The following is a 16,267-nucleotide window of genomic DNA, read 5'->3' as shown; positions in this document are numbered from 1 at the left end:
TGGTGACAGAACAAGACTCTGTCTCAAAAAAAAAAAAAAAGAAAGAAATCTACCCACTAACTTTGATGATAACTTCGATGCTAAGTAAACATACACCACGCAGACTATGAAAACAGGCTTCAGAATTGCCAAAGGAAACATTTCCATATATTAAATTTTCTAGCTAATTGGAATATTAAATTACACTGTCATCTATTTTATGAAAAATTTAGTTAGTAGATAAAATTTACTTCTGGCCTGGCGTGGTGGCTCACGCCTGTAATCCTAGCACTTTGGGAGCCCTAGGCGGGTAGACCATTTGAGGTTAGGAGTTCAAGACCAGCCTGACCAACATGGTGAAACCCTGTCTTTACCGGAAAAAAAAAAAAAAAAAAAAAAAGGCAAAAAATTAGCTCAGTGTGGGGGTGCACACCTGTAATGTCAGCTACTCAGGGGGCTGAGGCAGGAGAACCACTTCTCCTTCTGGGAGATGGAGGTTGCAGTGAGTCGAGATCGTGCCACTGCACTCCAGCCTGGGTGACAGAGCGAGACTCCATCTCAAAAAAAAAAAAGATAAAATTTACTTCTTAAGTGCATAATATTGAATGTGACACTACACATATTTTACTCTCAAAATATTTAACTAGACACAAACATACGTTCAGAAGATGATGTAGCAACTCAAATGTTAAAAAGGAAAAGTAGATGTATCTTAGGCATAATACCTGTTCTTCTTCATTAGTAGCAGCTATGTACCCCATAATACTTTGTATCTCTTCATGAGATCCACCTTTGCACAGAAAATATTTAATTAGTCCATACAAAGAAGTCCTTATTGTTCGAATATCATCTAGAGATAGTTCATTATATTTACAACCATTCCTGAAAGACAAAACAAAGTATAAGAATTGAAATTTTAATTTTTACATTTCCTTTTTTCTGAGATGGAGTCTCGCTCTGTTGCCCAGGCTGGAGTGCAGTGGTACAATCTTGGCTCACTGCAACCTCTGCCTTCTGGGTTCAAGCGATTCTCCTGCCTCAGCCTCCTGAGTAGCTGGGATTACAGGCACACGCCACCACGCCCAGCTAATTTTTGTATTTTTAGTAGAGATGGGGTTTCACCATGTTGGCCAGGCTGGTCTCAAACTCCTGACCTCACGATCTGCCCACCTCAGCCTCCCGAAGTGCTGGGATTACAGGCGTGAGCCACCGCGCCCAGCCTAATTTTTACATTTCTATATTTTCTACATAAAAGAATTCATAGTGTTAAAAAAATATTTCCATGTAATTCTGAGATTCATAGTAACTTTGGCTTGCTTTTCTTTTTAAGGAAAATCTTCTGAGTTAAGAGTTTCAGTGAATAAAATAGCTTATGTGAATACAACACCCACTGCATAGCAGACATACTTTAAGTGTTTTACATTATTAACTAATTAACTTAATCCTCAAAACAACCAAAGGAGGTAACAGTTTTCTTATCTCCTTTCAAAAATGAAGAAACCCAAGCACAGAGAAGTTGAGTAATTTGCCTACAGTTGCACAATTAATGAAAGCCAGATTCAAACTCAGTGTATGCGATCCACTGTTCATCATTTTAACCTCCACTGTATCCTACCTCTCTCCAGTTAAAACATACTAGAATCGCTGGTAAAGAGAAAGTCTACAGTCTACACATTCCAATCAAGTAGCAGACAGAAAATAATATATCAAACTGAGAAAGAACAAGGGCATCATACCCATAATAAATCCTAAGTGTATCTAGGAGAAACTGCACACCATACTTCTTTCGGAAAACTCTCCTGCTGTCTTTAATGATGGTTGAAAGATACTGTATGTGACCTAAAATAAAAAGTTCAATGGTAAGTAATTCAGCTAAAATAAAGTCAATAGGTAGTTATAAATTTCTAAAACAACTATAAAATGTTTATCTGAAAGCCTGCTCTCACCGATTCGAAAGGGAAAATCTCCACGGTTCCAAATACGAAAGTCAAAGAGTAAATATTGATACATTTGTTGCAGGAGCTGCATATTTTTCTCTAATGATACTTGTTCAATTAGTAACTGAACTGCCATCAACACATTAACATCCATCAAGGTGCTTGGCACCTGAAACCAAACAGAAGAGGGTTTCATATAGTTCAGTTTAAATAACTGTCATTAAGTTATAATTTTAAATCATTAATCAGAACATCTACTAAGTATAAAAATAGAAAAACCCACATTAGAAAAATAAAAACTTAAGTATTGGTTTTTCTGATATTAGACCAGAATATATTCTCCTAGTGTCATATTCCTAAAATAGTCTTATATTTCTCAACATCCCAAATATCAAAGCTATCAAACAAGGTTGTATACATCAAAGATTATACACTATTACATAAAATAAGTATTTCTTGTATAAGATGATTCCATACAAGTTTTTAAAAGCTGCCTGTGAACAAATTATATCCATTAATATAATTCAAGTTGTAATAATCTTTAAAAATATATTTATTAGGAAGAAAAAATCCCAACATCAACTGCAAATCACAATTATTAGCTACATCAACACAATGTTAGACTGGCTCACCTTCTGAAGTAAAGCACCAAGAGTTGCAACTCCATGGGAGTGAATAAGATTGCCCTGGTTGATAGGATGTCTCTGAATAAAATGTTTCACAATTAAGATAAATGTTGCAACTAGGTTTCTCTCTAGTCTTGACTCTGTAGAATCAGGAACATATTAATTATCATAATTTCTCTAATCACTTTTATATCACATTTTCTATATCTTAATGCACACTGTTACACAAAGTAGAAATCTGGTTCAGCAGTCAGCTTCCAACGCTCTATTGTACAATAGAATCAGAAAAAGCAGCAACTATAATATTGTATATTTATGTGCACATATTTTCTCTACCACAAATTTAACAATGTGGTCATATTTCCACTAAGAGTATAAACTAAGGATACTGGAGATTAATCTGTCGTTTTTTGATGAAAGTATTATAAACTTTCTGAATGATATTAGTAAAAGTAGAAACAACTGCTACAGCTACAAATGGTTAAGTTTCTTCCTAATGACAGTAAAACATTTTCATTTATTTCTCAATTAATTCTCAAATTTCTCAATGACTATTTTGTGTTAATTTCATCTTAATACCTGAGGCCTTTGTGGAAGTCCATACGAGCCAATCTCCTTCAACAGGTGTTACTGATTCAGGAACTGTGCTTTCATTCTTTTCTTCAGGAATCTGTCCTTCACTAAAGTGGCTGATTTGTTCCAATAAAGGAAAGAGTACATTTAACCCACCTATGCAGTTTATGATATCCTAAAGGGAAAATTATAATGTTTAAATCTTATAAAAGGAGGACAATTTTGTCATTTAATATCTTCACATGTATGAAGTTATAATCTGCTAGATAAACCTTTGAGCAATGTACAGGATAACCTAAGCTGAAGGAATTTTTGTGTAGGAAGATGCTTTACAGGGCAGCCTCAAGGGTCACCATAATCAAAACTCAAGAGAGATCAGGCCAGACCATTTTTACTCCATCTTCATTTTCCAAATTTTAGGGATTTCGAACATAGGCAAATGAAACATAGCCCCATAAGTGGACTTTATAATGTAACTCCAACAATGGAAAAACAACTGTCACTAGGCAATTAGGCATAATAAACAAGAGAATAAACAATGAAAAAAAATGCATTTGGTGGTAGAAATATGACTGACTCCTCGACTTTTAGTTAACAAAAAGGTAGAGAGGGTATTTCAGGCAAAGTTCAAAGTTTTGGATATTTTGGGTAGCTTAATAAAATATTTTCTATATCTTTTGATAAGTTACTAATATCACTGGCTTCAGTTTCTTCATCTGTAAAATGAGGATAATAGTAACACCCACTTCATAAAGTATTGCAAGGATTAAGTAAGCTAATATATAAAAAGTGCAGTCTCTGACATACAGTCGATACCATACAAGGTTTGCTCTTATTATTAATTATTAAAGTGTTCTGAATTGCCACGTGGACATAACTTAAGTCTTCAAACAACCTCTTCACATTCTTTGCTTGTTTTCTTAGAAATAAATTTTATTGTGTATATTTGAGGTTTACAAAATAATGTTGTAGGATACACATAGATAATAAAATGGTTACTATAGTGAAGCAGATTAACATTTCTATCATTTCACATAGTTACTTTGTGACAAGAGCAGCTAAAATCTACTTATTTAACAAAACTCCCTAATAAAATGTAATTTTATTAACTATAGTCCTCATGTTTTACATTAGATCTCTGGACTTGTTCATCCTACATATCTGCTACTTTGTTGGGTTTTTCTTGTTTGTTTTTGAGACAGGGTTTCGCTCTGTCACTCAGCTGGAGTGCACTGGCCTGATCACGGCTCACTGCAGTCTCGACCTTCCAGGCTCAAGTGATCCTCTCACCTCAGCCTCCCAAGTAGCTGAGACTACAGGCATGTGCCACCACACTCAGCTAACGTGTGTATTTTTTGTACAAAGTTTTGCCATGTTGCCCAGGCTGGTCTCAAACTCTTGAGCTCAAGCAATTTGCCCGCCATGGCCTCCCAAAGTACTGGGATTACAGGTGTGAACCACTGTGCCTGGCCTCATATCTTCTACTTTGTTTTGACTGTTTGTCATACCAGTTTTGAAGAGCTCTTTGTGTAAATAAGTAAATTAACTTTTTGGAAGGCAAATATTATTTTACCAGTTGTCATTTAACTTTTTTGGTCTTTGATTTGGCTACAGTATAAAAATACGCCTTTCTCTTGATAATCTGTTGCTTTTTGATTTCCACATTAGCCAAAAGTCTAACTAGTTAATAATCCACATAGCTGTAACTCAGGCCACAAAAAAACGGCTTTGATTTTCAGGTATGTATGGTACATATAAACAGATTTCTATATATAAAATACCACATGGAATCAGCTTTGTAAAACCAGTCTTACAAGTAAAGCAAAAGTTAACTTATGAAGTGTCATTCATGTCATAAATCCTACTATGGTAACAGATAAAAAAAAGTGTTCTGGCCGGGCATGGTGGCTCACGCCTGTAATCCCAGCACTTTGAGAGGCCAAGGTGGGCGGATCAACTGAGGTCAGGAGTCCGAGACCAGTCTGTCCAACATGGTGAGACCCTGTCTCTACTAAAAAATACAAAAATCAGCTGGGTGTGGTGGCAGGTGCCTATAATCCCAGCTACTTGGAAGGCTGAGGCAGGAGAATCGCTTGAACCTGGGAGGCAGAGGTTGTAGTGAGCCGAGATCCACTGCACTCCAGCCAGGGCGACAGCAAAACTCTGCCTCAAAAAAAAAAAAAAGAAAAAAGAAAAGAAAAGAAAAAGAACAAGTGTTCTTATACCAAAATTAAGGAGAAAAATCCTTTATATATCATGAATAACATGAAATTAACACTAATTGATAGATTAATTTCTACATAGGCAAAATTATCTTAATGATTTCTTTTCACTGAAATAATAAACGTATTTGGTTGGTGTTAACTGATTAGAAAAGTTTTTTTTTTTTTCCTGATTTACCAGCAAGTCTTCTTATAATTATCTTTTATTTCCCTGATTTACCGGCAAGCCCTCTTATAATTATCTTTTATATTTCTTTTATTTAACTTAGGTTATAACTTCTATTTAAAATATCATTTAAGGAAACACTATATTTAAGAATTAAGCCTTTCTCACCCTAAACAACCTTTACTAATTTAATCACTCAGTCAACACTTATTTGTTGCATAACCCTGTACCAGGAACTGATTAAAAAAAAGAAAAAAGCAGTGACCCTTCCTTCAAAGTTCTTTTGGACTACTAGAGCATTAACCAAGCAGTTACTATTTGCCATGGTAAGTGAAATAATAAAGTGCTAGGGATACCCATAAGAGCAGTTTGGTCTTGGAAAGTAAGTAGAAGCCTCTAGATGGAAGCAAAGTTCCAGCTGTGACATAAATATGAGGCCAATGAAAAAGGAAAATAAGATTTGAGAACCCATACAGACATGGCAAAAACATTCAAACTCCACACAGACAGTTGCCCCTGCCAGGAATCAATTTTTTTCTCACTGACTTTATAATGAACGACATTATCCAAAGACCTGCTGTAGCTTACAAAGGTAACTATACTTCAAACCAAAGTCATTCAACTATGTTAGTCATTTAACTTTGCATTTGTTTACCCTTCAAATTGTATGTTTGCATAACCCTTTAACTGAGACCTATTATTTAGATCAATCTGGCAGTGCTTTAAAAACAAAATCCTTAATAAGAGTATCAGTAAATTATGTAAGATGTTGCCCAACATTTACTATTAATTTACCTTAATGTCCCAGTTCACTACTTTGTTTCCTGTTAATCTTCCATGCAAACAATTAGTAGATAAATCAAGACAGATTGAATTTTTGCAGGCCTAAGAATAAAAGAAAAATATGGCAAACAACCAATTAGAACAAAACATAAATTTAACCACATATAGAACATTTCACCATAATACAAAAAGGAATATAGGATAGTCAAAGATAAGATGCCCATAATATGAATTTTAGTATTGCTGTTCTGTTTTAAAAGAAAGAATCAGGGCCGGGCGTGGTGGCTCATGCCTGTAATCCCAGCACTTTGGGAGGCCGAGGCAGGTGGATCACCTGAGGTTAGGAGTTCGAAACCAGCCTGGCCAACATGGTAAAACCCCATCTCTACTAAAAATATAAAAACTAGCCGGGTGTGGTGGTGGGCACCTGTAATCCCAGCTACTCGGGAGGCTGAGGGAGGAGAATTGCTTGAACCCAGGAGACGGAGGTTGCAGTGAGCCGACACGGTGCCAATGCACTCCAGCCTCAGTGACAGAGTGAGACTCTGTCTCAAAAAATAAATAAAAATAAAAAAGAAAGAATCAGGAATTAGATTCTAAAGCACCCACTTAGAAAAGTAGGTCACTGCTACTTGTCATCTGACAGATGAGCTATAGGCAGAACTTGTTCGCCAGCCACAGTGATGTTTTTTTTTTTTTTTTGGAGACAGAGTCTCACTCTTGTCACCCAGGCTAGAGTGCAGTGGTGTGATCTTGGCTCACTGCAACCTCTGCCTCCCAGATTCGAGCAATTCTCCTGCCTCAGCCTCCCAAGTAGCTGAGATTACAGTGGTGCGCCACCACATCTGGCTTAATTTGTATTTTTAGTAGAGATGGGGTTTCACCATGTTGGCCAGGCTGGTCTCGAACTCCTGACCTCAAGGGATCCACCCACCTCGGCCTCCCAAAGTGCTGGGATTACAGGCATGAGCCACTGCACCCGGCCTCGCCAGTCATAGTTTTTAAATTTTTCTCTTTTAAACAAATACATGAAAACAGATTTTTTGCTTTAAAAAAATTCAATGTTTTATTTCCATTAGCACTTCCCTAGGCACAATTTCAAGATACACATAAAACGTGTGATTAAAATGAGAGATAAACCATAGAACAAAAAAAAAATCATAATATAAAAATACAATTACAGGCATAAGATACTATTTTCCCTCATGTTGTTGCCAGACAATTCTGGCTGCATTCAGAGTAAGAGCTTAGTCTGTAACTTTAGAAACAGTGTTATTTGCTAACCTCCATTCGTAAAGGCATGTTAACTTCATATTCAATCCGAATTTTCAGGTAATGCAGCATCCTTGAATCTAATCTAATCCCCATTCCAAAAGAAAGTAAACCTACAAATTTTAGCGCACATGATGTAGTTACTGCTTTCCTCTTAAACAATTGAGAAAAATTGCTTTAATCAAACAAATACTTAAACGTTATCCGTCTCCGAGACAGACACGTCTTTCTCTAGTTACTACTTTAGTCTGTAACTAAAAACTGTGTATCTATGACCTGTTTTAACAGAATAATCTCCTAATGGTATGACACTCTCTAGAATCCATTCCTCCAATCCAACTTTCACACTGCAGCTTAAGACCATTTCTAAAATGCGAATCCGATAATATTACTCTTCTGCTAAAAATTCTATCCATTGCCTATTATCTACTCTGACATAGGAGGTTTGCTCTAATGTGACCTTGCTCTCTAGTCTCATCTCCTCTTGCTCAGTGTCCTATACCCAAACACATGTAGAACCCAGTTTTACAGTCTATGCCTTTTTAGGTGATATTTACCATGCATCCCTGCTCAACCTTGTCTTTTAAAACACAAATGATACCATCTTCTTTATGATTTTCTAGCTTCCTGGAACAACAAACCACTCCTCATTTGTACCCTCACTATTAATTTGTACATTATTCCGTACATTATTCCAACAAAGAAATATTGTATATTAGTTAAGGATATAAATTAAACAGGCTGGGTTCTAACTCCAGGATTCAATGGAATTATGAGTCTAAGCAAGTTACTTATCTTACTGAGCTTCAGAAAACTAAAGCTTAGAAAAGATAACCAATAATACCATATACCTCTCAGGGCTTTTGTGAAGATTAAGTGAAACAATACACGTGAAATACTTAGCATAGTGCTTAACATATTGTTAACACCCCATAAATGGTAGCTAAAAAGAAAAATAAATGCTCATAAAGTTATGTTGAACTTATTTTTTAAAAAATTTATTTTGCTTTAGATTGTAAGCTTCTTACAGACAGAGACTTTTATTTATTTATCTTTGTATTGTAAGGGTATAGCATAATTCTTGGACTAAGAAGACATTCAATAAGTTTTAAGCAAATGAATGATTAAATACCTCCTACAATTGAGTACAAAAAAAACTGTTGACTATTTTAAAAATCCTCTGGAGCAGCTTTTCCCAAACTAGCATTTGTTAACAACTAAGTTATAATAACAAAATATGTTCTATGCTCAAATAGCTGGTGAAACAGTAGGACAAAACAAAAGTAAACTGGTTCCTTTATAGCAGAATTTTAAAAATGTATCACTAACCTCCAAGAGGGATATAAAGAATGCAACTGGGCCGGGCACGGTGGCTCACACCTGTAATCCCAGCACTTTGGGAGGCCAAGGCGGGCAGATCACTTGAGGTCAGGAGTTCGAGACTAGCCTGACCATCATGGTGAAACCTCGTCTGTACTAAAAATACAAAAATTAGCCAGGTGTGGTGGCGCATGCCTGTAATCCCAGCTACTCAGGAGGCTGAGGCAGGAGAATCGCTTGAACCCAGGAAGCGGAGGTTGCAGTGAGCCAAGATTGCGCCACTGCACTCCAGCCTGGCAACAGAGCGAGACTCCGTCTCAAAAAAAAAAAAAAAAAAAAGCAACAGGCCGTATGCAGTGGCTCACGCCTGTAATCTTAGCACTTTGCAAGGCCTAAGTGGGTGGATCACTTGAGCCCAGGAGTTCAACACCAGCCTAGGCAACATAGTGAGACCTTGTCTCTACAAAAAATCAAAAAATGGGGTGGGAGTATTGCTTGAGCCCAGGAGGATGAGGCTACAATGAGCCATGATTGCACCACTGCACGGCCACCTAGGTAATGGGAGTGATACCCTGTCTTTAAAAAAAAAAAAAATAGAATCCAACAGTCCCCCAAATTTATTTAACTATAGAGTCCCTGTCTCATGACATAGCACCATTTTGCAGAAACATTCCTTCAGTAATCTGTTTTATTGTATTTATCAATAGTCATATTAAGTTTCTTGGGGAAAAACAAGACAATAGCTATTTTTTTGGTAGTATAGAATTTTTTACTTTCAATGGTAAAAAAAAAAAAAAATCCAACTTTAATGTTAACAAATTCAAAGTTACTTTGTAAAAAGAATACGATGACCATAATGTCAAAAAGACCAGTCAGGCCCAGTGCGGTGGCTCATGCCTGTAATCCCAGCACTGTGGGAGGCCAAGGCGGGCGGATCACTTGAGGTCAAGAGTTCAAGACCAGCCTGGCCAACATGGTGAAACCCCATCTACCAAAATACAAAAATTAGCCAGGTGTGGTGGTACGTGCCTGTAATCCCAGCTACTTGGGAGGCTGAGGCAAGAGAATCGCTTGAACCTGGGAGGCAGAGGCTGCAGTGAGCCAAGATTGCGCCACTGCACTCCAGCCTGGGTGAGAGAGCGAGACTCCATCTCAAAAAAAAAAAAAAAGTTGGCTGTCACACATCCAGAACTTGCCACTAAATATACTGTTTGGATTATATGCAATTATTTCTTAGCTATCTATGCTATATAGTGGAGAATGAAAATAGGTGTAAGATACAATTCCTGCCAAGAAATAACATAAGATGTATTAAACAAACATGTATCTTTGGGAAAAAGAAGTTATACAAAGCAAACAAAAATATAAGACTCAAGAGACCTTATAACCAATGCAATGCATAAACTTTGGATCCAGGATTCATTTCTAAAAGGCTATACAAATATTTTTGGAAAAATTTGAACACAGAGTATATATTAGATGAATTATGGGCCATTTTCTTAGGTAGGTAGATGATTATGTAGAAATATACAGGGATGAAGTGTCTTGATAGTTATGTCAATTCGTTTTCACAAATGATTTGAGACAAAAGTCAGCAAGTACAGTAAAACATTAGTAATTGGTTAATTTAGGTGAAGAGTATATAGGATATCACTTTACCATTCTTTTGACTCCTCTCTAGATTTGAAATGTATCACAGCAAAAAGAAGGGAGAAAATAAAACTAATAAGCAAATTTTATTAGGTCAGATACAAAAAATAAATATTTAAAAGTAAGGCCAGACACGGTGGCTCATTCCTGTAATCCCAACACTTCGCGAAGCTGAAGTGGAAGAATTGCTTGAGCCCAGGAATTCAAGACTAGCCTGGGCAACAGAGTAAGACCCTGTCTCTATAAAAAATACAAAAAAAAAAAAAAGCTCAGCATGGTGGCACATGCCTGTAGTCCTAGCTACTCCGGAGACTGAAGGTGGGAGGACTACTTAAGCTCAGGAGTTCAAGACCATAGTAGGCCATGATCCCACCACTACACTCCAACCTGGGTAGCAGACTGAGAACCTGTCTCCAAAAAAACGGTGTGGGGTGGTGGAGTAGAAAAAAGTCCTTTTTCCTTTTACTTATCTAATAAAAGCAACTGAGGTCAGCAAGGACTGAGGAAAAAAAGACAAAAGAACTGGGAGAAACAAAAGAACTGGGAGGAAGAAAAGAAGTAGCAAAAATATTAATTGCTTCCATTATACTCAATGTTACATGGACTCAGAAAATGTTTTGGTTTTGTGAGATTATACATTTTTCTTTCTTTTGAATGGAGTCTCGCTCTGTTGCCCAGGCTGGAGTGCAGTGGCACGATCTCGGCTCAATGCAAGCTCCGCCTCCCCAGTTCGTGCCATTCTCCTGCCTCAGCCTCCAGAGTAGCTGGGACTACAGGCGCCCGCCACCGCGCCTGGCTAATTTTTTGTATTTTTATAGAGACGGGGTTTCACCGTGTTAGCCAGGATGGTCTCGATCTCCTAACCTCGTGATCCGCCCGCCTCGGTCTCCCAAAGTGCTGGGATTAAAGCGTGAGCCACTGTGCCCGGCCGAGATTATACATTTTTGTATATCTTTTTCTAGTTTAGCCAGCTTGTGCATGATAATAATTTATTACTTTCTTTTTCTTTTTTGAGATGGAGTCTCAGTCTGTCACCCAGGCTGGAGAGCAGTGGCACGATCTCAGCTGACTGCAATCTCTGACTCCCGGGTTCGATCAATTCTCATGCCTCACCCTCCTAAGTAGCTGGAACTACAGGTGCCTGCCACCAAGCCTGGCTAATTTTTTGTATTTTTAGTAGAGACGGGTTTCACTATGTTGGCCAAGTTGGTCTCGAACTCCTGACCTCAGGTGATCCGCCCACCTCAGCCTCCTAAAGTGCTGGTATTACAGGCAAGAGCCACAGCCACTGTGCTGGGCCCCCCCCTTTTTTTTTTTTTTTTTTGAGACAGGGTCTTGCTCTGTTGCCTAGGCTGGAGCGTAATGGTGCAATCACAGGTCACTGCAGCCTCAAACTCCTGGGCTCAAGGGATCTTCCCGCCTTTGCCTCCCAAGTAGCTGGGACTACAGGCGCATGCCACTAAAACTGGCTATTTTTTTTTTTTTTGGCATTTTTCATAAGTTTTATAGAGACAGGGGTCTCGCTATGTTGCTTAGGCTAGTCTGGAACTCCTGGCCTCAAACGATCCACCTGGGCATCCCAAAGTGCTGGGATTACAAGTGTGAGCCACTGTGCCTTCTGGCCTTTTTCTCCTTTTGAAGTGAACATTTTTTCTTCTCTTTCTTTCTTTTTTTAAAATTTTTGGCTACATCACATTTAAAAAACTGAGAACAATTCTGTTTCATCTTTCCTTCCAGTAAACTATGAGAATACAAACACAAACAATTTCACTTACTGAAGTCAATTCATCGGTACAAATTCCAACTGTAACTATTGCCATTAGTACCACAGGGATGACATAATGATAATATTTGGACCCTCGTGGAGGAGGTATACCTTAATTTTTACTGCTTCTCACCTTCCTTTGAAAATTCATGATTATTTTGATGGCAATTCAAACCCCTCCTTTTAATTACCCAATGAAATGACAAAAGGAATAGAAAAGGAACTGCAGTTCACAACATAGTTATAACTAGATGGACAGTTCACAAATTTACTCTGACCTTTGCTGTGTAGTAAAGAAGGATGTTACCAGGCAGGTCGGCCATGTCAGACTCTTGACACTTCCAAGGGCTTAAACAATTTGGACCTGAAAATTATTTACACACACATACACACCATTGAATATATATGGTCTCCTTGGTTCTGTGTTATCAGAATAAAATTTAAAATTAAGCTGTTTCAAGCTACTCAAACAACACAGCTGAAACTCATTAAGCTAAAATTTACTTTGTTTCCATATTCCAGTTTATCTAAAACCTACAAAAATTGGGAAATAAATCAATTTCCATTACAGAAAATTTTTTTTATATAGTATTAACAAACTATTATCAGCCAGGTACAGCCTGTAATCCCACAGCTCATGCCTGTAATCCCAGCACTTTGGGAGGCTGAAGCAGGTGGATCACTTGAGCTCAGGAGTTTGAGACCAGCCTGGGCAACATGGTGAGACACCATTTCTACAAAAAAATATCAAAATTAGCCAGAGGTGGTGGCATGTGCCTGTAGTCTCAGCTACTCAGGAGGTGAGAGATCACTCAAGCCTGGGAGGCAGAAGTTGCAGTGATCTGAGATTGCGCCACTGCACTCTGTCCTCAGCAACAGAGTGAGATATTGTCTCAAAAACAAAAACAAACAAAAATTATTATCTGGTCACGCATGGTGGCTCACACCTGTAATTTCAGCACTTAGAGAGGCTGAGGCGGGAGGATCACCTGAGGTCAGGAGTTTGAGACCAGCCTGGCCAACATGGTAAAAACCCCACGTCTACTAAAAATACTAAAAAATTAGCTGGGCGTGGTGGCAGGTGCCTGTAATCCCAGCTACTCGGAAGGTGGAGAATCGCTTGAACCCAGGAGGCAGAGGCTGCAGTGAGCTGAGGTCGTGCCATTGCACTCCAGCCTGGGCAACAAGAGCAAAACTCTGTCCAAAAAAAAAAAAAAAGAAAGAAATTATAAACAACCTAAGTAAATAACACGTCTTGAATCCAAGGAAATATGCAACCATTAAAAATGATCATTTAGGCCTAGCACAGTGGCTCACGCCTGTAATCCAAGCACTTTGGGAGGCCAAGGTGGGAGGATCACTTGAGGCCAGGAGTTCAAGACCAGCCTAGCGAACATGGCGAAACCTTGTCTCTACTAAAAATAAAATAATTAGCTGGGTGTGGTGGCACACACCTGTAATCCTAGCTACTTGGGAGGCTGAAGCACAAGAAACACTTGAACCCAGGAGACAGAGGTTATAGTGAGCCAATATCAGCCACTGCACTCCAGCCTGGGCAACAGAGCAAGGCTCTGTCTCAAAAAAACAAACAAACAAAAAAAAACAAAGAAAAGAAAAGATAAGGTTCTAATATAAAGTCTGAAATGTGGGCAATCCCATTCATCTCAAAATTCCCATGCAATCTAAAAAAGATATTTAGACAAATAAGAAGCTATTCTGCAGTTACATAACTCTTAAAAGCTTAACTCCTGAACATCCTGTTAGAATATACATATAATTTTGAAAGTAGTTAGGATCCAATAACTATTAGTACATATGTTTAAAATCATAGCCAAAAGAAAAACAAAAAGCCAAAACAAAATGAAAAACAGTTTGCAAACTTATCCAAGGTTCCCTAATTCTACTGCCTTCATGAATTCTTCAGATATATTAATATATCAGTTGAAAAAATGACAAGTTTTGGAATAAGGCTCATGATTTTGGAAGCAGTTACATAATTTCTTCTAGAGATACGGTTATATTTTGTTTCATCAATTCATTAAAATCTGTCAAAAGTACTGGCAGTGTTATGGACTGACTATGTCCCCCTAAACTTCCTATTTAAAGCCATAATCCCCAATGTGACTGTATTGGAATAGGGCCTTTAAAGTGGTAACTGGGATTAAATGAAGTCATCGGGATGGGGCCGTAGTCTGAGAGAACCCCTTATAATAAGAGACACAGGAGAGGCTGGGCGCGGTGGCTCACGCCTGTAATCCCAGCACTTTGGGAGGCTGAGGTGGGCGGATCACAAGGTCAGGAGATCGAGACCATCCTGGCTAACACCGTTAAACCCTCGTCTCTACTAAATATACAAAAAATTAGCCCGGCATGGTGGCGGGTGCCTGTAGTCCCAGTTACTCGGGAGGCTGAAGCAGGAGAATGGCGTGAACCTGGGAGGCGGAGCTTGCAGTGAGCCGGGATCGCGCCATTGCACTCCAGCCTGGGCCACACAGCCAGACTCCATCTCAAAAAAAAAAAAAAAAAAGAGAGACACAGGAGATCTCTTTCTCCGTCCATATGCACACAGAGAAAAGACCATGTGAGAACACAGCAAGAAGGTAACCACCTCATAAGCGAGGAAGAGAAGCCTCACTTATATAGAAGTGAGAGCCTGATCCTGATGTCACCTCGATCTTGAACTTCTAGCTTCCAGAACTGTGAGAAAATAAATTTCTGTTGCTAAAGCCGCCCAGTCTGTGGTATTTTGCTATGACAGCCCTAGCAGACAAATACAGGCAGTATTATGGATGATAACTGAAATATTTCCCAAAAAAGGTTTGCTTTATTTATGCCTACAAAACAAAAACTATTAGGTATGTGGAGGGGCTTTTTCTTCCCTTTCAGCTTCAATTAAAACAAATACACTCTTCACATGAAATATATTCTTCAGAATATATTCTTCTATATTCTAAATATATTCTTCAGAATATATTTAGACAACAAAAAAAACTCTAAATTTGCTTAAGCATTATGACTGTACATGCTTACCTGCTAAATATAATGCCTTCACCTGAGGAGGTTGTAGTGGTTCATAAAAGATGATAACAGATCCTAGCTGACCCTCCAGAGATGTGGGACACCCCCATTCACTGTCTTGGGTTCCAGCTGATATCAATTTGGTAATCAATTTTGATTTTTCAATTGTTCCTCCCCAGGAGGCTGATGACAGAATTCCACCAAATGATGTCCGATGAGGGGTAATGGGAGAAGAGAAAGGTGGATCTGGGATTTGGGATGGTGGAGGAGTGGTGGTTCTTTGCCCAGCTGAACCAATGCAACAGGAAGTAAAGGGCTAAAAACAAACAAACAAATTACACAATTTTAATTAACATATATCCTCATATTTAACATAAAATTACACAATAAAATAGTACATAAAATTACACAAATAAATACATTGAAAATAAAAGTGGAAGCAGTTTTATTTTTACCAAATCATGAAGTGTAGACGCATGTGTATACTTAGGAAATTATTAGCAAAATTACCTTGGCCTATAGCATTTGGATGCATTACTTCTATGACTATTTTATATTCTTTGGTAATTTTTGAATTTTTAAAGTGCATATGATTATGAACTTTTTTAACTTCACTGTTTTTGAAAATAGAGAAAACTATTTTTTCTCTTTATGATGTATAAATATTAATCACAAACTATCCTGAAATGGTCACTGAGATGAAAACCAACAAAAAATTACTTGAATCCTTGGACTTGAGAAATAATCTACTCTATTCCACTATCTTCAGAAAAGGCCCTCTAGTGTTCTTTGAGAACCACTTCAATACATAAACTCTATTTTATACCTAACTAAAATATGAAGGTTTTAAGCTTCTTCATTATTGTTTCAATTATAATCAAGTTAGAAGAGTCCATCATAATATTCTCTTACGTAATTCACATACTTAGAGAGCTTTTATTAAACGATAGATTGAT

At 37.9% G+C, this 16,267-nt stretch overlaps 1 protein-coding gene across 11 annotated transcripts in view; it reads right to left on the bottom strand.

Annotated features, from left to right (window-relative positions):
• NBEAL1 (neurobeachin like 1) overlaps positions 1-16,267 on the bottom strand; it is a 210,587-nt gene that overhangs the window by 96,553 nt on the left and 97,767 nt on the right. For 10 of the 11 annotated variants that reach the window (XM_011511658.4, XM_047445554.1, NM_001378026.1 and 7 more), the window contains 8 exons: positions 15,324-15,627; positions 12,572-12,657; positions 6,299-6,388; positions 3,122-3,290; positions 2,549-2,682; positions 1,926-2,085; positions 1,716-1,818; positions 705-861 (listed from right to left, as the gene is read on the bottom strand). In XM_011511658.4, the coding sequence (XP_011509960.1) occupies positions 705-861; positions 1,716-1,818; positions 1,926-2,085; positions 2,549-2,682; positions 3,122-3,290; positions 6,299-6,388; positions 12,572-12,657; positions 15,324-15,627 (1,203 nt within the window). Of the gene's footprint in view, positions 1-704; positions 862-1,715; positions 1,819-1,925; positions 2,086-2,548; positions 2,683-3,121; positions 3,291-6,298; positions 6,389-12,571; positions 12,658-15,323; positions 15,628-16,267 lie in introns of those variants that run through there. The other variant, XM_005246788.3, reaches the window with a different exon arrangement.

This window comes from Homo sapiens, chromosome 2 (genome assembly GCF_000001405.40).
Source record: "Homo sapiens chromosome 2, GRCh38.p14 Primary Assembly".
In the NCBI taxonomy this organism is placed as follows: Eukaryota; Metazoa; Chordata; class Mammalia; order Primates; family Hominidae; genus Homo; species Homo sapiens.
The sequence above is the reverse complement of the archived record's forward strand: the minus strand, read 5'-3'. Positions and strand labels throughout refer to the sequence as shown.